This window comes from Homo sapiens, chromosome 12 (genome assembly GCF_000001405.40).
Source record: "Homo sapiens chromosome 12, GRCh38.p14 Primary Assembly".
Taxonomy (NCBI): domain Eukaryota; kingdom Metazoa; phylum Chordata; class Mammalia; order Primates; family Hominidae; genus Homo; species Homo sapiens.
In genome coordinates, this window is record NC_000012.12 from 12,685,681 (window position 1) to 12,706,751 (window position 21,071).

Consider the following 21,071-nt stretch of genomic DNA (forward strand, 5'->3'; position numbering starts at 1 on the left):
AATTAGTATGGACACTGCAATAGTTACTCTCCCCATCCTCCACTGCTTCTTTCCTTAAAAATCTAGTTAGGTGCAACTGAATGAAAATTCCAGCTTCACAGATTGACCCTGAAATGCCATCACAGGGTGGTGGAAAGAACTCAAGAAATCAATTTCTCCTCAGGTTAGAATATCTGACTTTTGGGAAGCCATTATCTAAGTCCTAACAGCCTTAATTGGGAGATACTTTAGAGCCACACCTGACTGTCGATGCTAGGAACAATGTGTGGATTCTTTATAACACTATGGAAGAAAAGACAATTTTTTAAATGTGAGTTGTCAAATTATTTTAAATAAATACAAATTTTATTAATACTTGGATAGCATTTGGATTACTCCAAGTCAGAAATACAAACTGGCTATACATTTGTCTCATAACACTGGCATATAACTTGTTGTTTCTAACTCAGAATCCTAACCAAAGCAATTCAGAATATTTATTTTTTGAAAGACGAATGCTGACTTGCAATGTGTAGAAATGAAAACTTTGTAAGCAAAGAGGTGGCACAAGGAAGCTGGAGTATAATTTTCAAGAAACTGAAGGTCCTTCCTGGATCAACATCCTCATCGTATTTTCTACTTTTATTTTAGGAGGAGTGAGGTTAATTCTAGTTTTTCTATGTAAGACTCAGAGAAATTCAACTGTTAATTTTAACACTTGACATTTTAAGAAAATTCATTTATCAAAAAAGTTAGATATTGAAGAAATTCTTTGAGTCAGCAGGTTGGTGACTTGGATATCATCTCCTCTCTTAGTCAAGAATAATTACAACAATAAGAACAACTAATATTTAACATGTGCCAGGTGTTTACATACATTATGTCATTTAATCCTATCAACCCAACAAGATGAGTACTATTACTGGCATTTCTGTTTTACCGATGAAGAAATGGAGGCTTGGGGGAATAAGTAATGTGCCCAAAGCTGCATAGTGTGGGAGCTAGGATTTGGAACCACTGACTCAGCCTCCAGAGCAGGCATAGTGTACTATGCTATTCTGCATCATGCATAGTAGACTAGATTAAAATAACTGGTCAATTTAATGTGTTGTGACTTACTACTATGGCCCCTTGACATAAGAAATCACAAAGATTGCTTTAAATTATTTGAGACAAAAAAAATGACCAACATATTTATTCCTTCCAGGATGACTGCATGTATATATTATGGCTTAATGATATTTAAAATCATCTTGTAAGGAGTCATAACCCAAAATTTTATTAAGGATGGTCATAAAACATGTTACATAATATACTAATTCTGCTTAAAATATATTGCCAAAGTTATAATCACCAAATTTACTTTTGACATTGGAAGAAGATAAAGAAACAGTTGTCTTCCATCCAAATGCACAAAATTCCACAATACTTGTGCAACTGGGGTAATATTTTGAACATGAGTAATGTGATCTTCTCATCTGCCTGGGGAATCCATTTGCCTTGGAGATAGTGTTTTGGCACTGTTTAGATGTTACAAAAGGAATGGAAAAAAAGAAATTAATATTTGGCTTCTGAAATTCAAAATAGAAACAAGACAATAGGCTTGAAATCCAGGCTATTGTTTTGAAAGCCAGTCTCTAAATTCCTTTATTTCTGCCCTTAGCTTGTCATCAACCAAACCTGGAAGACTTTGCTCAGTGTTCTGTACTATAGACCTCTGGCTTCAGGTAAAAACTTTCCAAGGGGTCCCAAAGCATGCAGAGTTTTATGGGAACTAATTTCTAGATCCTCAACTTCTACAAGTATGCATTCTAAAACTGCTTTTCTGAGAACTGGTGCAGTCGAGATGTCATGCTGGTTCTTGGTTTCCACTTAGCTTTTCTTCCATCTTACACAGATTGCTGAATCTCTCTTCCACCTTTACCTCAAATCCTGCGTTGTCTGAATTTAAAAACCTCCTGGGGACCAAACACAGGAATAACTGAAAATATTGGGGATAGTACTGAGAAAGTGAATAGCTCCAATAATTAGGTAACAAATCCTTTTAAAAATCAAGAGCTTTCCAAGTGCTTTCAACAAAATTGGAAACAAACCACTACCCAGTGGTCCACTGAGAAATTCATTAAAATGGTTTTCTTAAAACAACGCTCTTACCAGGCACGGTGGCATGTGCCTGTGGTCCCAGCAACACAGAAGGCTGAGGTGGGAGAATCGCTTGCACCCAGGAGGTTGAGGCTTCAGTGAGCTCTGATAGTGCCACTGCACTCTAATCTGGGAGACAGAGCTAGACTCCGTCTCTTAAAAAAAGAAAGTTCTTCTTTACAGAAAAATGCTAGTTAATAAATACAGACTACTATAGTTAGAACACCATTTTTGCAACCCCCAGTGAAATAATTGACTCAGGAAAAGATCACAAAAGGTGTTCAAAGTATAAGATGAAAAGTTGTTGAACGGGTTATTTGTAGATTACTTATAAAGTGCAAAGGGATGTGTGTCCTTTTTCAGTGAAGAGAGTGGGAGGGGGGGTCATCATCTTAACCAAGTGACCAAATTTAGCGTTACTAATAGTGAGACAAGCTGAAATTATGTGCCTAACATGAAATGATGTAACCTACTCAATGTTACTGAAGTATTCTTTCTAAAAATGTTTAACCCGAATATAATCAAATCTGTACATATAATGTCGAGTTTTTTTTTTTAATAAAAAGGCAAGGGTTGGAGAAACAAGTTATAAGATATTATGAGGAAATAATTGGCCAAATCAAGAATGCATAATATTCTACAAGAGAACTAGCATGGACTCATCAAAAAGTCAAATCATGAAATAAAAGGCTGCCTACCACAGTGAGTTACCTCCATGTTGAGAGCAGTGCTCAGGGTAAGGGATTTCTGCCTTGACTCCCTTTTTGAGACAACTGCCCAAGTCCCTCAAACCTCATTCCTTGCATTTCTATGGCTGTTCAGGCCAAGTCCACAATAGCATGGTCAGACACAGATATGACAATCAATTATTCTAAGCCTTTCTGTTCTCTTGAAGGATGATGCTGAACTAACAGCCAGTAGGCCTGCCACAACCAAGACAAGGTAACCCCACAGCAGGGGCCAGGGGTACTGAGTCTGCCAGGGGAGGTGGCCAATACTCCCTGGGAGATTTGTCTGAATCCAAAGGTGGGCCACGAGTTCACCATGAGTTCACCAGCTGCAGGCTTCAGCATCACAGGACAGCATGTTCCCCAGGGATCAGGCAGACAAGGGGTATGTATTAGGTTGTTCCTGCATTGCAATGAAGAAATACCTGAGACTGGGTAATTTATAAAGAAAAGAGGTTTAATTGTACACATTTGCAGGCTGTACAGGAGGCATGGTGCCCACATCTGCTCAGCTTCTGGGTAGGCCTCAGGGAGCTTTTACTTATGGCAGAAAGTAAAACAGAAGCTTGCATGTCACATGGCGAAAGCAGGACCAAGAGAGAGAGTTGGGGGTGGTGCCACACACTTAATACAGCAGATCTTAAGAGAATTCACTCACTATAGTAAGAACAGCACCAAGACATGAGGGATCTGTCCCACGACCCAAACACCTCCCACCAGGCCCCACGTCCAATACCGGGTATTACAATTCAACATGATATTTGGCAGGGACATATATTCAAACTGCATGAGGGTGTCATCCTGGAAACTTGAAAGTACCTCAGTGCATACTCTAGGTCCAGAATGAAGCCAGGAGGTACCCTCTCTCTCATCAGTGCCACAAGGATATGTAATTATACCCCCACTTCCCCCCAAACAAATGAAAGTCATCTACAGAAAAAAGTGACAGGACCTCTTTGGGAGGTATTATGAAAGATGAAACATTTCATCCATAGGATACTAATACTATCTAAAGGAACTGAATGAATTGAACTATATTTGAAACAGGATTAGACACTTTTTTTTTTTCCTGTAACCTAACAGGTTGTGGTGGTTTTAAAATACATCCACAAATTCTTTGATATGCCTTCAAAGAATGCATCTAAGGTCTGGCTGCCACATTAGATTTTAGATGTGAAACCTAATCCACCTCCCCCTGAATGTGGGCTAGACTTAGTTACTTCTTTCTAATAAATAGAATGTGACAGAAGTGATTCTGTGACAGTTTCTACCTGGCTCTCACCTTCTTGGATTACTTACTCTGGGCAAGCCAGCTACCACGTCATAAGGAAACTCAAGCTGCCTTGTGAAGAGGCCCACACATAGCAAACCGAGGCTTCTCACCAACCAGCACCAACTAGCCAACCTTGTGAGTGAGCTGCCTTGGAAGGAGATTCTCCAGCCCTAGTCAGTGACCATACCCCTAGCTAACATCTCAACTACAGCTTTGTGAGAGACCCGAAGCCAGATGGCCTAGTTAAGCTGTTCCCAAATTCCTGATCCACAGAAACTATGACATAATGTTTTTGTTTGTTTGTTTTCTTTTTTAAGCTCTGTTGAACTTGATATTATTCTTCCAAGATATTAAACTGTAGGGAATTTTGTTATGCGGTAATAGATGACTAATAGGTGAAAACTCTAGACAAAATAAAGGACCTACATTTTCATGAGATATCTGTAGCGAGTTAAATAAGTGTCTTTGCTATATATGTGTATTCCTAATGTGGAAGATACATGGTTTTATTAGGACAAAAAACATTAAGAAGGGGAGAACATAATTAGGCACATAACACTGTTGTCTAAGGAGAAAAATGAATCCCCTTAGGTTGAGATGGATTTATTATGACTCAGAGGAAGTGCAGGGAAATCAAGAACAAAAAGTGGCAGCCAGACGTTAGATTAGACAAGGGTCCTGAAAGTGGTCAGACCCAAGGTAGCTACTGACTCTCTTTCTCTAGGAGACCACATGGTCTACTGCCTCCAATTCTCTCTGTTTCTTCATTAGCTGCATTCACCAGCTTCTCTTGAGATCAACTAGTTCTGCTTGTCCCTTATTGTATTACTGGCCCCAAAATGGCTGCCCCTAAATGGTGGCCTTGGATCTGAAATTCACATGTCCTTATAAATTCAATGCTTCTGTCAGAGTGACCCAGTCTCTCAATGTTCTGACTCTAAATTCTTAGGAGGCAGAGTCTGTTTGACCCAGCCTAACTCAGATACAGAGCCAGATCCAAACAGCTGGGAGAACAGGATGGAGAAGAGTTCCCATACTATCTTCTCAGCACTCTCTAAAAAGGGCTGTTGGCAATTTTGCCTTTTTGTAATTCTATTTGAGCAAGTTGGAAGTTTAATTAGCTTTCCAATCAACCAAATTTCTGCATTCGAGTCTTAACCATATATAAGTGTTACTGTGGCTTCAAAGAAAATATGGATTCTGAAGTAGTGGGTTTTGATTGAGTTGACTGTTTTTAAATAACTCTTTGGATTTTAATTGTGATGCAGAAGTTATAGTAACAAACATTTGGTTTTGTACAGACATTATTTCCACGCTGGTGGATAAGCTCAATAAAGGTCATATCCCAAACTAAAAAATATAAAATAAAATAAAATAAAAAATAAAAAAATAAAAAGGGCTGTTGGTCAATTTTATAAAAGGCAAAGTCAAACAGAGGGAGGAATGACTGATAGATGAAATGACTGGTCTCTTGGTGCATCTGTTTCTAAAATTCCGTTAACTTTCCAGAATGAGCCTGCCAATAGCTCTGGTCTAAACTCAACCCCTGTGACCTCCATTTCACCTCCATTTGAGTCACCTGCTGAACAAGCATGCCCTTCACACTGCTTGTATTGCCTCCGTGGCTTAGACTTGACAGTTTCTCTGCCTTGTCCTCTTTGTGAACATCTACTCCTCTTTTCAAACCCTGCTGGGTTTTATCTTATCTGTAGTTCTATTTCTCTCCCACTCTGTATCCTTCCAAAATAAGTTAGTCACATTTTCCTTTTCACCATAGTACTTTAATTTTCATATATACTACTTATACGATTGCATATGTCATATTGCATTGACTTCATAGATTCTTGTAAGGTGGATGTCATCCAATTCATCTTTATACCTCTAGGATCTAAAACAGCAAAGTAGGTGCTCAGCGACAGTGTACCAGCACACTGAATAAGCATGACTTTTGAGATTAACCTAAAACCACCTAATTTTCATTTTCCACTGTCCCTTTGAAAACACCCTTCAAGGGTGTCTGGTTGCAAGGCTGGTTCTTCTCTTATCCCTGAATTAAAACTTGGGTGGTCCCATTACTTTTTCTGGTCATTTTTAGTTAAGAGATGTTAATAACTAAAATATCCAGTCCTATATAACAATCAAAAGTTGGCACCTGACTTAGTTTAGGCATTTCTCCCTCCTCCCAGTTTGTGCCTTCTGTAGTAGATTTAACAAAACAGTGTGGCCACTTCTCTTTTTTCCTGACTTGTTTCCTTAGATCTTGCCCCTCCTAGTTTCTGATCCCTCCAGGGTTTGAGAGGAGGATGAGCAATACGTCTTACTTTGTTGGTACTAACATGAGCTGCCATCAGTTTCCCTGTACCTCACAGGTATTAAAGACTGATTCCTTATCTCAATGGGCACTTACGTGGGTTTAGGGGGACAAAACTCTACTTCTATGAATTTTTCAACTATAGCTCCTTTGACCAGCTGGCCACTTATCTAACTCCAGAAAGACCTTTAGCTTTTCCCTGCTGAAGTCTATTCCTCTCTTTGAGTGGTCATCTTGGTCAGGTCCAGTGATGACTCGCTGCTGGCTTCTCTTGTCTTTTTTTTTGTAATATTAGCCAGGTTAATGGCGGGGTTTTGCCATGTTGCCCAGACCGGTCTTGAACTCCTGGGCTTAAGCGATCCTTCTGCTTTGGTCTCCCAAAGTGCTAGGATTACAGGCGTGAGCTACTGCGCCTGACTCAAATTTAATTTCTTGTACCCCAAAAAGAGGCAGAAAGAAAGACGGACTGGATACCCTCATTTATAGAACCAGAACCCCATACTGGTACAATATGAAAGTTTCTGAAAAAGGTCCAACAGGTATTTGATATCCACAAAGCACAAAAGACCTAATTATAGTTGTTTTTTTTGTTTTTTTTTTTCTCCAACTGGGCTTAAGCCCCTTTCTCCTTTGCTTTCTGAGCAAAAGTACTACTGGCCTCCAGCAGCTGAAAAAGCCCTTAAGAAACTGAAGCATTACTTGTCTTTGGCTCTAGTCCTGGCTCACTCTAACCCATAAAAACCTTTAAAGACAGAGACCAATCTGTCTAGCATTCCTATCGGTCCCAGGAAGATTCTCTGTCACTCATGTGTGCCTGCTTTTCAAGAAAAGGAACCCAATTAAAGACAGGTAACTTCATGTGGCAAAAGATATTCTTGGCCATTATCACTACCTTTTTTGTCTTATATTCAATAACTAAAGTAGTATGGTGATTTCAACTTCTGAGTTATTTATAAACCTAGAAACCAGAATTGTCCTACTAGCAAGTAACTTGTCTCTTAGAAGCTGAAATTGCTGACCATGCCACTTGTATTCCAAGTGATTCTGTGTTCCCTGAAAGGCTACAAAGACAGGCTTGAACCTCACCTTTCTCATCTGTTAATAATAACAAAACCACTTGTGTGGTCAGAGCTGCCACATCAACCCTGATAGGCTACCGGAAAACACTTCATTATCAATGCCCTGCTGCACATGCATTCCCATGTACAGCAGCCTCTCATTGGAAAAGAACACACATTTCAATCATGCCTTGATGCCCTCCCCAACCAATGAGGTATTGCAGGTTGTAAAGATCCGCCCCAACCCACTACTGCCATCAGCCCTGCTGATGGCCCAAGATTCACCATGTGTAATGCAATAAAGACATCATTATCTGTGTTGCCTGTGCTAGATCAAAAGACCAGCTTGGGAGACTGACACTCTTCTATCTCTACAGCTAAGCCTGTGTATCCTGGCAATTATACTAATGGCTTTATCAATGACCTTTCCCAAATTAGTACGTTAACCCCATTCTTATCACAGTGGCCTTCCTCCTGAATAGAGCTCATGATGCCCTACTTATCTGCCTGTCTCAAGCTCTAAACTTCATTCCTCCAAACGTGTTTTCCAAAACGGAGTCTTGCTCTATCACCTAGGCTGGAGTGCAGTGGCACGATCTCGGCTGACCGCAACCTCTGCCTCCTGGGTTTAAGCAATTCTCCTGCCTCAGCCTCCGGAGTAGTTGGGATTACAAGCGCGTGCCACCACACCCAGCTAATTTTTGTATTTTTAGTAGAGATGGGGTTTCACCATGTTGGCCAGGCTGGTCTCAAGCTCCTGACCTCGTGATCCCCCCGCCTCCGCCTCCCAAAGTGCTGGGATTACAGACGTGAGCCACCGTGCCTGGCCCTAGAGGGAACTCTTAAAGCAGTGGCTCTCAACCTTTGTTGCAAAATGGAGGGTTTTAAGAAAGTACTGATGTCTGGGCTCCACTCGCAGAGATTCTGATTTAATTGGTATAGAGAAAAGCCAGGGCATTAGGATTTTTTTAAGCTCCCAAGGTGATTCTAATGTGTGGGCATGGTAGAGTACCTGTCTTTTTTTTTTTTTTTTTTTTTTTTTTTTGAGACGGAGTCTCGCTCTGTCGCCCAGGCTGGAGTGCAGTGGCGTGATCTCGGTTCACTGCAAGCTCTGCCTCCCGGGTTCACGCCATTCTCCTGCCTCAGCCTCTGGAGTAGCTGGGTCTACAGGTGCCCACCACCACGCCCGGCTAATTTTTTGTATTTTTTTTTTTTTAGTAGAGACGGGGTTTCACCGTATTTGCCAGGATGGTCTCGATCTCCTGACGTTGTGATCCGACCGCCTCAGCCTCCCAAAGTGCTGAGATTACAGGCGTGAGCTACCGCGCCTGACCCGGTAGAGTACCTGTCTTAAAGCTCCCTAAATACAGACGGACCTACGATGCACAGAGCATCCACAATTCAACTGATAGGTGGCATGTACTTTACACTAAGTTCTATGCTACCTCATTTTGTCATTACAATAATCCTATGGCACAGGCACTATTATCCTTATTTTATAAATTGAGAAACTGAGATTCAGACAGGACACACAGAGTGACTGGCAGACCCTAAAGTCAAAGCCCAGGTCTGATTCCCAATTGTACACACTTTATATGACATCATATCGAGATGTCATGCCTCTCAGAGCTGGATGATCCCACTCCCTAAAACAAGACACCCAGGCTTCAACCCTGAAATCCTATTCCATTGCCTCCATGGATTTTTCCTGCAGCATTTTCCTATGCACTTCACACATACAGCGCAGCTGCCAGGATATACTTTAGGCTGCCAAAATGAAATGAAGTCACTTTCTTGGTAAGTGATTACCATGCCTGGCTCTTTACTGAAGTACTTCCATTCTATATATTCACACTGGGATCCTTCTCCATCACTGCTAGCTTCAATCCTGTGGCTTTCCATATTTAGTTTTTCTTACAGATGAAGTGATACTCTTTACCTATCAGCCATTCCTTTGTTGGAGTAAAATTACGTATTCCATCAGCATTCTTCTGCCTTGTACTCCAGATAGTATACAAAGAATCAAATTATAGTAGCTAAGTGGCATAGAATTGCTGCCGATATCAAGATGGACTCTAATATCTAGTGAACTGGGAGGCTAGAGGCTAGAAGTATGTACTTCTGTAAGGTGTCAGTGACACATCTGAGTAATGTGGTAGCTAAATGCCACCATTTCATTCCATGAAATCCACATTTCATTCTGGCTAAAGGGTAAAGCTGGTGAGAGGTGGGAGGGGCCAGGAGGCTCCATCGGAAGGAGGCAGACACTTCAGGTGTTGGGTGGTACCTTTAAGATGTTGCGGGGCCAAATCCAATGCCGGTGCAGGTGTCCCATATATCCTGAGAGACAAAAAGAGGTCAGATTGGTCAGATCCCTCGAGACAGTTCCCAAATTCCTGACTTCTGTTACCGCGACTGTTCTTCGCAATTCCACCTCGGCCTGTGTTCAGGACTGTGGCTTTTAGAATCTTCCTCATTCCATTCCATTAGGGGCGTCCCGATTTCCACCTTATATACACCATGTACTAAATGCATGCCATTTCTGCCTGTTTACAAACATGCATAAGTTCACACTCTTTTAAGAAAAATGTCCTCTACTGTCAACTTCTTTCTAGTCTGGCCTCCCAGGTAGGCTACAGAGCTACTGCCTTCATTTATCTCTCAAATCTTCCCATCTTCTCCTTCCCACTGTATTACCTTAGCTCACACTCACATCCTCTTGGTCACCAGCCAAAAAATAAATAAAACTCCTTTGTCCCTTCAGATTTCTCTCTTATTCTACAACCTCATTAATCGGCTCTCCCGCTCCCACTCCTTTACTACTTCAGTCGCTGAAACCTCCCCTCACAGAGTTCACGGCCAATATAAAAACGGAAAGAAGGGATGACCATACGAGCTTGTGGACTTTTGCCTGCAAAATCTCATAGAATGTGGTGTTGTGTACGTGAATCCATCAGATCAACGCGACGGACACTCCCCAAGGGCCAAATCGGACCGCCTCTCACTAGGCGGAAAGTTTTGAAACTTTTGCGCGCTAAAAATGATGAGCCAGACGCATGCGCAAACGTGCACTCCCGGGGTGGCGCTTCTCCTCAGGCAGATCTCGCGTGGTTTGGTGATGGCCGGCTAGTATGAAGGTTTTCCGTGGCGTTGAGATCCCACCCGCCCTTTTTTTTTTTTTTTTTTTTTTTTTTTTTTTTTTTTGCTGCCCCAGTGGATTAGGATTAGTGCTGCAGTCAAATGAAAAAGATCAAGACAAAAAATTAGGCTAATATAACTAGCCGACAGGCTAGCGGCATTTCTCTGGGGCCGAGGAATTCCACGAAGAAGATCTCTGCGAGGCCCAGAAGGCCGCACAACTACTTCTTCAGAAACAAAATTTTTTAAAAAAGTAAAAATAGAGGAAGTCAGCCAGTTTATCACCTTGGAACCAGCGTTTTGTTTGGCTTTTCCGCTTTTCACTCTACGAAAAAGCCCATTGGCGGCTACCCAGGTTACCGTCCTGTTGCCATTGCGCCTGCGCGGCGGTTTGTTTACCAGTCCAGGCGAAGCGCTGTGTCGCGGTTCTCGCCGCCCCGAGCGCCTTGGTTTGCTCCCTTGACGTGTAATTCGTAATGAAAGTCATGTTTTCATTTGGGAACACGGATCGGAGGTTTAAAACTGGACAGTTTAAGTGTCAACTTCAGACCAAAGAAAATAATGGTAGGGAAAACACTGGACACTCAGAAATCGGTGCCGCGTCAGAGCTGTCACGGAAGATGTTTCTAATGAACCTGAGGAAAACAATAGCACCACCCTAACCAGAACTAAAAAGTGGCAAGCAGCCACAGTTAATGAAACTCATAGGTGGCATTTAGTTACTTATTTAGAATGTAGGCCTAGTTATGGTAAAAATGCAAATAAGACCAAACCTAAGGTCCTCTTGCTCGAGCAAACCTCAAGCAAAACCTACATGATTTAAGACTGACTCTTGAAGCGAAGTAAAAAAAAAAAAAAAAAAAAAAAAGCAGCCATGCAAAATTTGAAACTTGGAGACGACTCTAGAAGCATTAACCCAAGAAAGCACAAGCCAACAAACAAATTTTTGAAATGGTTTGAAGAGCTCTTCAAAGTCAGTTTCAGGTGGCTTAGAAGAGGATGTTGCTTATAAAATGAGATCTGATGGAAACTTGTTTTACAGATATGACTGGATTCGTTTGAAAACAAAAAAAAAGGCAGGCAAAGTGACTTTTTAAAAAGTATTTTTATGGAAGGATTTCTAATGATACATTTTAATGTGCTCAAAAAACAACCTTAAATAACTGGTAGATTCAGCCAAACCTGGATCATTGTTATCTTAGAGCTGGATAAGAGCATAAATGTTAACAATTTGGCAATTTTATTGGACTCTGTTATGTTTTTGAATGGTGAATTTGAAGACTTCAACTTGTAACAAGAAATTTTCTAAAAGGAAAGTGGGATTTTCAAGACATATGAAATTAAGCAGAGAATATGTATGGACATGTGAACAGATGGAACCAAATTTTGAAAGCTTTGCATGTGTCCAGCATCGGTCACAGAAAATCCTTTTATCTCAAGAAACTAGCCTCTGGATTTTCTCACGTTCAATATGATAAAACTCAGTAAATCCAGCAGCTTGAATACCTTTTAACACAAATTTGTACCAAAATGAGAAGTAACTTTAAAATTCCGCTCCATTATCTAGAGGTACTCTGACTTGGTTAAGGTAAGGTGAAAATCGGTTTTCCAAGCCAGTATTGAACTGGCATTTTCATCATGAAGAAAAAAAAAATGCAGATAAAGTGAATGGGTATCTTGTTCACTTTAATGATTAAGACTAACTCAGAAAGCTGGCTTACTTTGTCAAGGCAAACAACCAGTATTAAACAAACTGAATACTCTCATTGCACATAATGAGAAGGCTTGAATGAAAATTAAGTATGGGAGTGGAAGAGCTGATAAAGAACAGTGACTTCTTTGAGACTCCTAGTTCATTTACATGTGATGAAAATTATAGTGTAAGAATAGTAAGTTGTCAAATAAAACATTTTTCTTCACTGAAAAAAAATCTTTGGTGAGTAACAGAAACTGACTGATGGATTGGTAATTTAGTCTGCCCCGTGACTCAGAAAATATACTTACCAAAATTTCCACTGTCAGTAGCTGAAAAAGTTAATCATGCCATTTCTTTAGCCAGTATTCTGGGCATACTCCCCTGTGATTACTCTGATACTGTAAAGTAATGAAAAACCTGATGCCATCTGTATCCACATATTTATGTGAATCTGAGTTCTCGAATTATTGTGACCCCAGGACAAATGAAAGAAATTGCCAAATAATGAATCTGATATGCATCCCCAATTACTCAAACTTGGTTAAAGCAACACAATTTAACCTTATTAACTGAATGATAGGACATTTTTTTCATGATCGATAACTTAAAGCATTTTTTTTTTCTCAAGACGGTCTTGCTCTGTCACCCAGTCTAGAGTGCCATGGCTTGATCTCGGCTCACTGTGACCTCCACCTCCCGGGTTCAAGCGATTCTCTTGCCTCAGCCTCCCGAGTAGCTGGGATTACAGGTGCGTGCCACCACGCCCGGCTAATTTTTTGTATTTTTAGTACAGACGGGGTTTCACCATGTTGGCCAGGCTAGTCTCAAATTCCTGACCTCGTGATCCGCCAGCTTTGGCCTCCCAAAGTGCTGGGATTACAGGCATGAGCCACTGTGCCCAGCCCATTTTATATAGCATTCTACAGTCACTCCTAACTAATACATAGGGAACAGTTTGGGAGATAGGGAATAGGGAAGATGAAAAATTTGGTTTATCACAGTCAGTATGAGCATTGAAATTAGCTTAATCTCCAGGGAAAAGAAAGAATGAATTTGGCCAGGCACAGTGGCTCACGCCTGTAATCTCAGCACTTTGGGAGGTTGCAGTGGGTGGATCATGAGGTCAGGAGTTTGAGACCAGCCTGGCCAACATGGTGAAACCCTGTCTCTACTAAAAATACAAAAAATTAGCCGGGCGTGGTGGTGCACACCTGTAATCCCAGCTACTCGGGAGGCTGAGGCAGGAGAATCACTTGAACCTGGGAGGTGGAGGTTGCAGTGAGCCGAGATCGTGCCACAGCACTCCAGCCTGGGCAACAGAGCAAGACTCTGTCTCAAGAAAAAAAAATTGAAAACATACATATTAGGGCCAAATTGCAGGGTTTGTGTATGAATCCCTAATAAGCCAAATAAATTTTGCTTACTTTTAGCTCTGCACTCAGGTCTTAAGTATTGGGGGTAATTCAGTACTCTTGTCATACCTAAAGAAAGGATGTTTCTGCTGGCACAGGCCCATGCCTATAGTCCCAGCTACCCAGGAGGCTGAGGCAGGAATATCCCTTGAGCCCAAGAGTTCAAGTCCAGCCTGGACAATATAGCAAGATCCCATCACTAAAACAGTGTTTCAATCAGAGGGAAGAGAATCTTCAGCACGAGAGGGGAAAAGGGAGAAAGAAGGGCAAATTTGGTTTGTGACTGGTCAAATAATGCCCACTGAGGACAGGAAGCAGATGCACTCTACTTCCTGCTAGGGAACTCTGCCCTTGCCTCCATCTACTGGCATGTTTGCATGGCTGACTTCATTCCATTTACATCTCTGATAAGGAGAGATACCTTTATGGTCTGTTATCTTCAATGTATTAAAGAGTCTATTATCATAGTCACAAGATAGCTGCCGCAGTTCCAAACATCATGTTCTCATATGAAATGTTTCAAATAGAAAAGAGAGTATGAGCCAAAAAAAGCTTTCTTTCTTTTTTTTTTTTTTTGTAAAGATGGGGTCTCCTCATGTTGCTCCTGCTGGTCTTGAACACCTGGCCTCAAGCGATCCTCCCACATCGGCTTTCCAAAGTGCTGAGATTACAGGTATGAGCCACTGCACCTGGCCAAAAGCTTTCTCCTTGAGGCCTCTCTCTTCTTTTTTCTCTCTCTTTCTTTCTCTCTCTCTCTGTCCCTTTATTTTTTATTTTTTATTTTTTTTGAGACAGAGTCTCACTCTGTTGCCCAGGTTGGAGTGCAATGGCATGATTATGGCTCAATGCAGCCTTGACTTCTTGGGCCCAAGTGATTCTTCCACCTCAGCCTCCCAAGAAGCTGGAATCACAGGCATGCACCACCACACCTGGCTATTTGTTGTTGTTGTTGTTTTGTTAGACTCTCTCATAAGGGCAAAAAATGTTTCCCATATGATGTTGCAGACTTCCCTTTATTTCTTACTGCCCAGAACTATGTCATATGACTACCTTTAGCTTCAAGGGAGGCTTAGGGAAGTATGTACAGAGAAAACAAGCATGTTTTTTTAATGGTGCACTAAAAATAACAGGACTTGTGGGAAATATAGGGTTAGAAGCAGGTCACTCAAAACCTTTGCAACTTTGTTAGTTGAGGGCTATAAAAATTACTATGCTAATAAAAAATACACAATTAAATTCCCTCTGACACTTGTACTCAATATCACAGTCATCCTTTAGGGCCATGCTGTCCAATACAGTAGTAACTAGCCATCTGTGTTTATTGAACACTTAGATGTGATAGTCCAAATTGAGAAGGGCTGTTAAGTATAAAATATACACATAAGATTTTAAGAATTTAGTATAAAAAATAATGTAAAAATCTCAATAAATTTTATATTGATTACATGTTGAAATGTCACTTCAACATTTCTTTTTACTTTTACTTTTTAAAAATGTGGCTCCCAGAAAACCTAAATTGTCGAATGTTTCTGTTGGACAGTGCTGCTTTAGTTTCTTGAATCCTGGGGCACATGATTCTTCCTTGGATGTATATGCCCTTGAGGGTATTAATTCCAATTAAGAGCAGTTTCATCAAAATTAAAAATCCGATCGAGGATTTTGTCTTTTTTATCAATCAGTTTTCCCCCAATGGGGTAAAATGGTTTTGCACCTTCATTTACACTTTGCAGTTTACCACAGAACTTAATGTTGTAAAAAACTCTTGAAGCCACCAAACAAGCCTCTGTTTGCACCAAAGGAAGGCATTCTTGCAGAATTTTCTGCTTTTTTTCTTAACATCTTTATATGTTGCTAAGGTTTTCTCTTTAATTGTGAGAAGCTTGTCCCTGCTTGCCCCAAAATGTTAGTGTGCTGGGAAAAATAATGAATGAAGCAATGTAATTTCTGAATTATATTAACATTATCTCCCCATTTGTTGCTTGCCCATTAGCTAATAATGACTATATCTGGCATATAAAGCTTTTATTGTGGGAGATAGGACTGCCAGTAGACAAAAGGGAGAGAAAATCCTAATCCTATAATTTCAAAGAGTTGGTACCCAATTATGGGATATTTTGGACAGTGTCCTTTCTATTCACCAAGTTAACATTTAGTTAATCGCCCCATTTGATTTACTCAATTACCCCTTTCTCCCAGCTAAAATCCATTGAGTTCTAAAGAACCATTTCAAAGGCCAGGCCAGGTGGCTCATGCCTGTAATTCCAGCACTGTGGGAGGCCAAGGCAGGAGGTTTGCTTGACTCCAGGAGTTTGAGAGCAGCCTGAGCAACATGGCGAAATCCTGGCTCTACAAAATATGAAAACTTTAGCTGGGTGTGGTGGTGCGTGCCTGTCATCCTAGCTGCTTGGGAGCCTGAGGTGGCAGAATTGCTTGAGCCTGAAGAGGTCATGGCATAATCATGGCATTGCACTCCAGCCTGGTGACAGAGTGAGACCCTGTCTCAAAAAAAAAAAAAAAAAAAAAGAATGGACAAAGGCTGTCTCTTCAGTAAATCTTTTCCTGATCTCTCCTATAAGCATTTTGCTTGCATCATCTTTTTATAGAACACATATTTGGCCTTATGTTTATGTTATTGTCTGATTTTTATATGTAGAATAATATTTTTAATTTGCATATGTAGAATAAAGCTCCTCCCACTGAAGACAGTGATTGTATTTTATTCACTTTTCAAAATTCCTCTGATGACTAGCCTTATGGTTTGTACAAATTAGGCACAACTAAATATTTGTTGAATTTAATTGTGCTGTATCCTAAAATAATAGAATACTAATAGAATAGAATAGAATAAATAATATAATATTTCTAAAATATTAATAGAATCTTATTCTATTAGGAATAGAATAACAGATTAGATAGAATATTTCTAAAATTCTAAATACAAGTTGGTATTTGACTCACATCTCTAGTGCTTTAAAAAAGTGCAACAGAATACTCTGTAAAATAGTGTTACAAAGTCAGGCTAAACATGTTAGAGTATGTACTGGTGGGTTTTTTAAAAAATTAGTTTCAGTAATTATGATTAAATCCATGGTAAATATAGACCTGTGATAAATCTAGATCCTTACGGTGATGACTCATTTTAAAAGACCCTAGTTTTCTGGATCTCCATTCTCCTTTTACTCAGTGCCTTCTCGTTTTTTTTCTCTATTTTAAACCAGTTTTCATTATTTCTCTGCTTTGAGAATCACTCAAAACAAACCAGTAAGGGATGTTCAACTTAAATCTAAAACATCATAGTCACATTTAAAGTCCTGAGAACGCAGCATTCCTGTTAAATAATGGTCATAATGAACTTATTAATCCTGGCCCTCTAATTACACTATTCTACACCCCAGTGATAAAGGTGTTAAAAAATGATGATTTAATTTTGTTCTGGTCTTTTCACTTGGATGTACCGTATACTGACATGAATCTCATCATGACTGATAAACTGAACTTGGATAGAAGAGCTGTTAGGATGACTTAAGTGCAAAAGAGAATCTACCGTTTAGGCAATCAGTATACAGTTTCCTTAAATTTTCTATAATTTATTTCCTTTTTTTGTATGATGTTCCAGCTTTTCCCACAGAGCTAGGAGCCCCACAAAAATAGAGACTTTGTCTTATTTGTTTCTGGTGCTTGTTTGTCTCTGTAACTCTAGCACTCAGCACAATGCCTGACACATTGTAGGTAATAAAGGATACATATTGAGTGAATGAAGTACACCTGGGGTCAAGTATCACATGTTCCAAATGAGCTTGGCTGAGGTTAGATTACCCTTATATTGGACGTGGAAAGGATCTATTACCTAATTTCAACTTGCCTCTATGTCTGTGGCATTGGTGGTTGGGTAAGGTCTATTGATTGTGAGACACAGTCTCACTTTTTACCACAAGTAGTATATGGAGTATGCGTGAGTGCGTGTTCGTGTGTGTAACAGGAATCTTAGCCATAGGACATGAAAAGCCAAACTATGGGACCTTGAAAGGTTCGCAGGTAAATGGTAATCAAAGATTCCCAAGGTCTGTGAATTCTAGACATCTTTGCCATAGAAGCCTATGGCCCCTCGCTCTAGCACATAGTGATTCTGCTGGTCCCTACATGTCTTCTCAATGCACCTGTCTGTTTTCTTCTTACTGTACTTCCTAGTTCTTACTGTACTTCCTAGTTCTAGTTCTTGGCTTAGCTAATAACCATTTTCTTTCTTTTGGGTAGAGCAGTCTGTACCAGGCCCCATCATAAACCATAGTGCTGAGTTAGGAGCCCAAGCCAGTGGCTTGGAGTTGGAGTACTTTTCTCTTGGAAGGGGCTATAGACTGTATAAGTTGCATGACTGCCATGTCTAGGATTCCTAATACCGTGCACTGGGAGCCATCTCTGGGATCTTCACTAGAACCAGGTGTACTTGCCAATCATATCTACTGGGTGCTAATTACCTACTTTGCGGTTATTTTGTTTAGAGCATTAGATTAGCTTCATTGGAGGATACAAAAAAGATTAAAGACTAAATAGATTTATATCTGAAGTCAAAGTGAGTAAGTCATAGAGACAGTGTATGTGTTGGTGTGTATGTGGCGGGGGAAGCACTTTCTGAAAGAGCTATGTGTAGTGGAAAAGGATCAAGTTTAGGTTGTTATCTTGACTTTGCAACCAATCGTGTGTGACTATAGAGAAGTCACCTTTGATCTTTTGTTCTACTTCACTTGTTAAGGGTTGTAATACTTAACTTGACTGTATAGACAACTGTTAAAACACTATCATAAGGCCAGGCGCTGTGGCTCACACCTGTAATCCCAGCACTTTGGGAGGCTGAGATGGGCGGATCACTTGTGGTCAGGAGTTTGAGGCCAGCCTGGCCAACATTGTGAAACCCTGCCTCTACTAAAAATACAAAAGCTAGCTGGGTGTGGTAGTACAGGTCTGTAATCCCAGCTACTCAGGAGGCTGAGGCAGTAGAATCGCTTGAACCCAAGAGGCAGAGGTTACAGTGAGCCGAGATCGTGCCACTGCACTCCAGCCTGGGCAACAGAGCGAGACTCTGTCTCAGAAAAATAAAAACAAAAAATACTATCATAAAATAATTGTTAAATTCAGATTATTGTGTGAGTAGTGTATGAAAATGATATAAAAATGTTGAATAGGTAGAATCTATGCAAATTTAGAGTTCAATTAAATTTGGTGGGGATTAAAACTCTTGTGTATGCATTTAGAAAAGCAGATTATAAATACAGTTGTGGTTTGGAATAGTTGCAGGATTAGGGCTGACAGTTCTGGCCTTGTGCTGCCCTCCTGTGCTGTTTAAACAGCACAGCAGGTCAATTACATTCCTGCTTCATGAATGTTCCGAATTGGGGGAGGGTAGTCTATCTCATTACTAATCCTCTTCTGTCCTCCTGTGGCCACAGAGCGCCTAACTATTTTGGATGTTTCTGTTTCTTCAGTAAAGGAAGGGAAGGAAAACTACTTGGAAACATTCTAGGTCAAACAATCTTATCCTGAGTTATGGAAAAAGGCAACTAATTGCAAATTGCATTTGACATTGGAGATATAATTGATACACCAATATAGAAGATCCGAGCAGATTATCGAGGTTTGGAGAAAAACACCATCATTACAGCATTGGGAAAGGCTTTTTGTCAAGAATAAATAGAAATGCATCTTTTTTTTTTTTTTTTGAGACGGAGTCTTGCTCTCTAACCCAGGCTGGAGTGCAGTGGTGCGATCTTGGCCCATGCCTGTAATCCCAGCTACTCGGGAGGTTGAGGCAGGAGAATCACTTGAACTTGGGAGGCGGAGGTTACAGTGAGCTGAGATCGTGCTATTGCACTCCAGCCTGGTCAACAAGAGCGAAACTCCATCTCAGAAAAAAAAAATTGCTGAGAATTTATAATAAAGCCATACACTGTTTATCTGGTTAATAAGATAGTCTATTATGGTGGGAACAGAAGATGCTGTTCTACAGTGATTTTCTAAGCAGAACATTTGCCAGTTGAAATGAGAGACTCACAAGCAAAGCTAATTATTTGCTAATTCTCTTAGCATATCCTGCAAAAATGGTTACTTTTAAAGATAAGGTCATTTGTCAGCATGGCAATTTTTTTTTTTTTGAGACAGGATCTCGCTCTGTTGCCCAGGCTGAAAAGTGCAGTGGCATGTTTACAGCTCACTGCAGCCTTGAACTCCTGGGTTCAAGAGATCCTCTCACCTCAGCCTCCCCAGTAGCTGGGACTACAGGCATACACCACCACACACCCAGCTGATTTTTGTGTTTTTTGTAGACACAGGGTTTCACTATGTTGCCCAGGCTGGTCTTGAACTCCTGGGCTCAAGTGATTCTTCAGCCTCCACCTCCCAAATTGCTGGGATTAGAAACATGAGCCACCAAGCCTGGCCAGTATGATAATTTTTTTATGACAGTTAAGAAAAGATATTGAAGGAAACAGTGTAAAACCAGGCAATGAAAGAGTAGAGAAAGGCAGTCAATATATGGCACCATTTTAATATGCTTGCTTCCCCGTCAGCCAGCCCTCACCCCTGGCCACAGCCTGGCCTGTTGCCAGACTGGTTTCCTGATCAGAACCCATCTACCCTCTGCTTAGACTAGGAGTGTGTGTGCATAATTTATTCATGTGGGTACACAGCATGCATAACATGACTTTCTCTTTTTAACTCACACCAGTCAGGCTTTCACATCTTTACCAAGACTCCTCTTATCAAGTCATCAGTGAACTTGATGGCCAAATGCAATGGTCAGTTTTCAGTGTTTATCTTACTTGACCTATCAGTGGCATTGGAATCATTTGATCATGCTTTCCTCCTTGGAACACTCTCTTTACTTGATCCCTGGGTCACCTCTCTCTTGGCTCTCCTCCACTCTACTAAGGGCTTTTTCCCTATCTCCTTTATCTAGATACTTCTCATCTTGATTTCTAAAAGTTGTAGTACCCTAAGGCTAACTGCCTAGCTCTTTTCTACATCTAAACCCACTCCCTTGGTGTTCTTATCTAGTCTCATAGCTTTAATATCATCTGAATGCCAAACATTTCCAAATGTGTATCTCCAGCACAGACCCTTCTGCCCTGAATTCCAAACTCACATATCCATCTGCTTACTCGACATCTCCATTTGGATGTCTATGGACATCTCAAACTTAACATGACCCAAACAAAATCTGTTCATCTCTCAATCAACCCTATCTCAGCAACTGGTCATACCTTTCTTCAGTTGCTTGGAGTCATCATGAACTCTTTCTCACACACACAGACCATTTCCAAATCTTCAGCAAATCCCATTGG

The 21,071-nt window shown here is 40.6% G+C and overlaps 1 protein-coding gene across 4 annotated transcripts in view, besides 2 other annotated features; it reads right to left on the minus strand.

Annotated features, from left to right (window-relative positions):
- GPR19 (G protein-coupled receptor 19) overlaps positions 1-21,071 on the minus strand; it is a 56,357-nt gene that overhangs the window by 24,791 nt on the left and 10,495 nt on the right. For 2 of the 4 annotated variants that reach the window (XM_011520623.4, XM_011520624.3), the window contains exon 2: positions 9,779-9,831. The gene's annotated coding sequence lies outside the window, so the exon portion shown is untranslated. Of the gene's footprint in view, positions 1-1,342; positions 3,253-9,778; positions 9,832-10,384; positions 10,504-21,071 lie in introns of those variants that run through there. The other 2 variants (NM_006143.3, XM_047428741.1) reach the window with 2 other exon arrangements.
- Positions 10,251-10,410: an enhancer, noted in NCBI's record as "active region_6019". NCBI's record gives its function as "activates an Ori minimal core promoter by ATAC-STARR-seq in GM12878 lymphoblastoid cells {active_cell/tissue: GM12878}" and the evidence as "EXISTENCE:reporter gene assay evidence [ECO:0000049][PMID:35858748]".
- Positions 10,591-10,670: an enhancer, noted in NCBI's record as "active region_6020". NCBI's record gives its function as "activates an Ori minimal core promoter by ATAC-STARR-seq in GM12878 lymphoblastoid cells {active_cell/tissue: GM12878}" and the evidence as "EXISTENCE:reporter gene assay evidence [ECO:0000049][PMID:35858748]".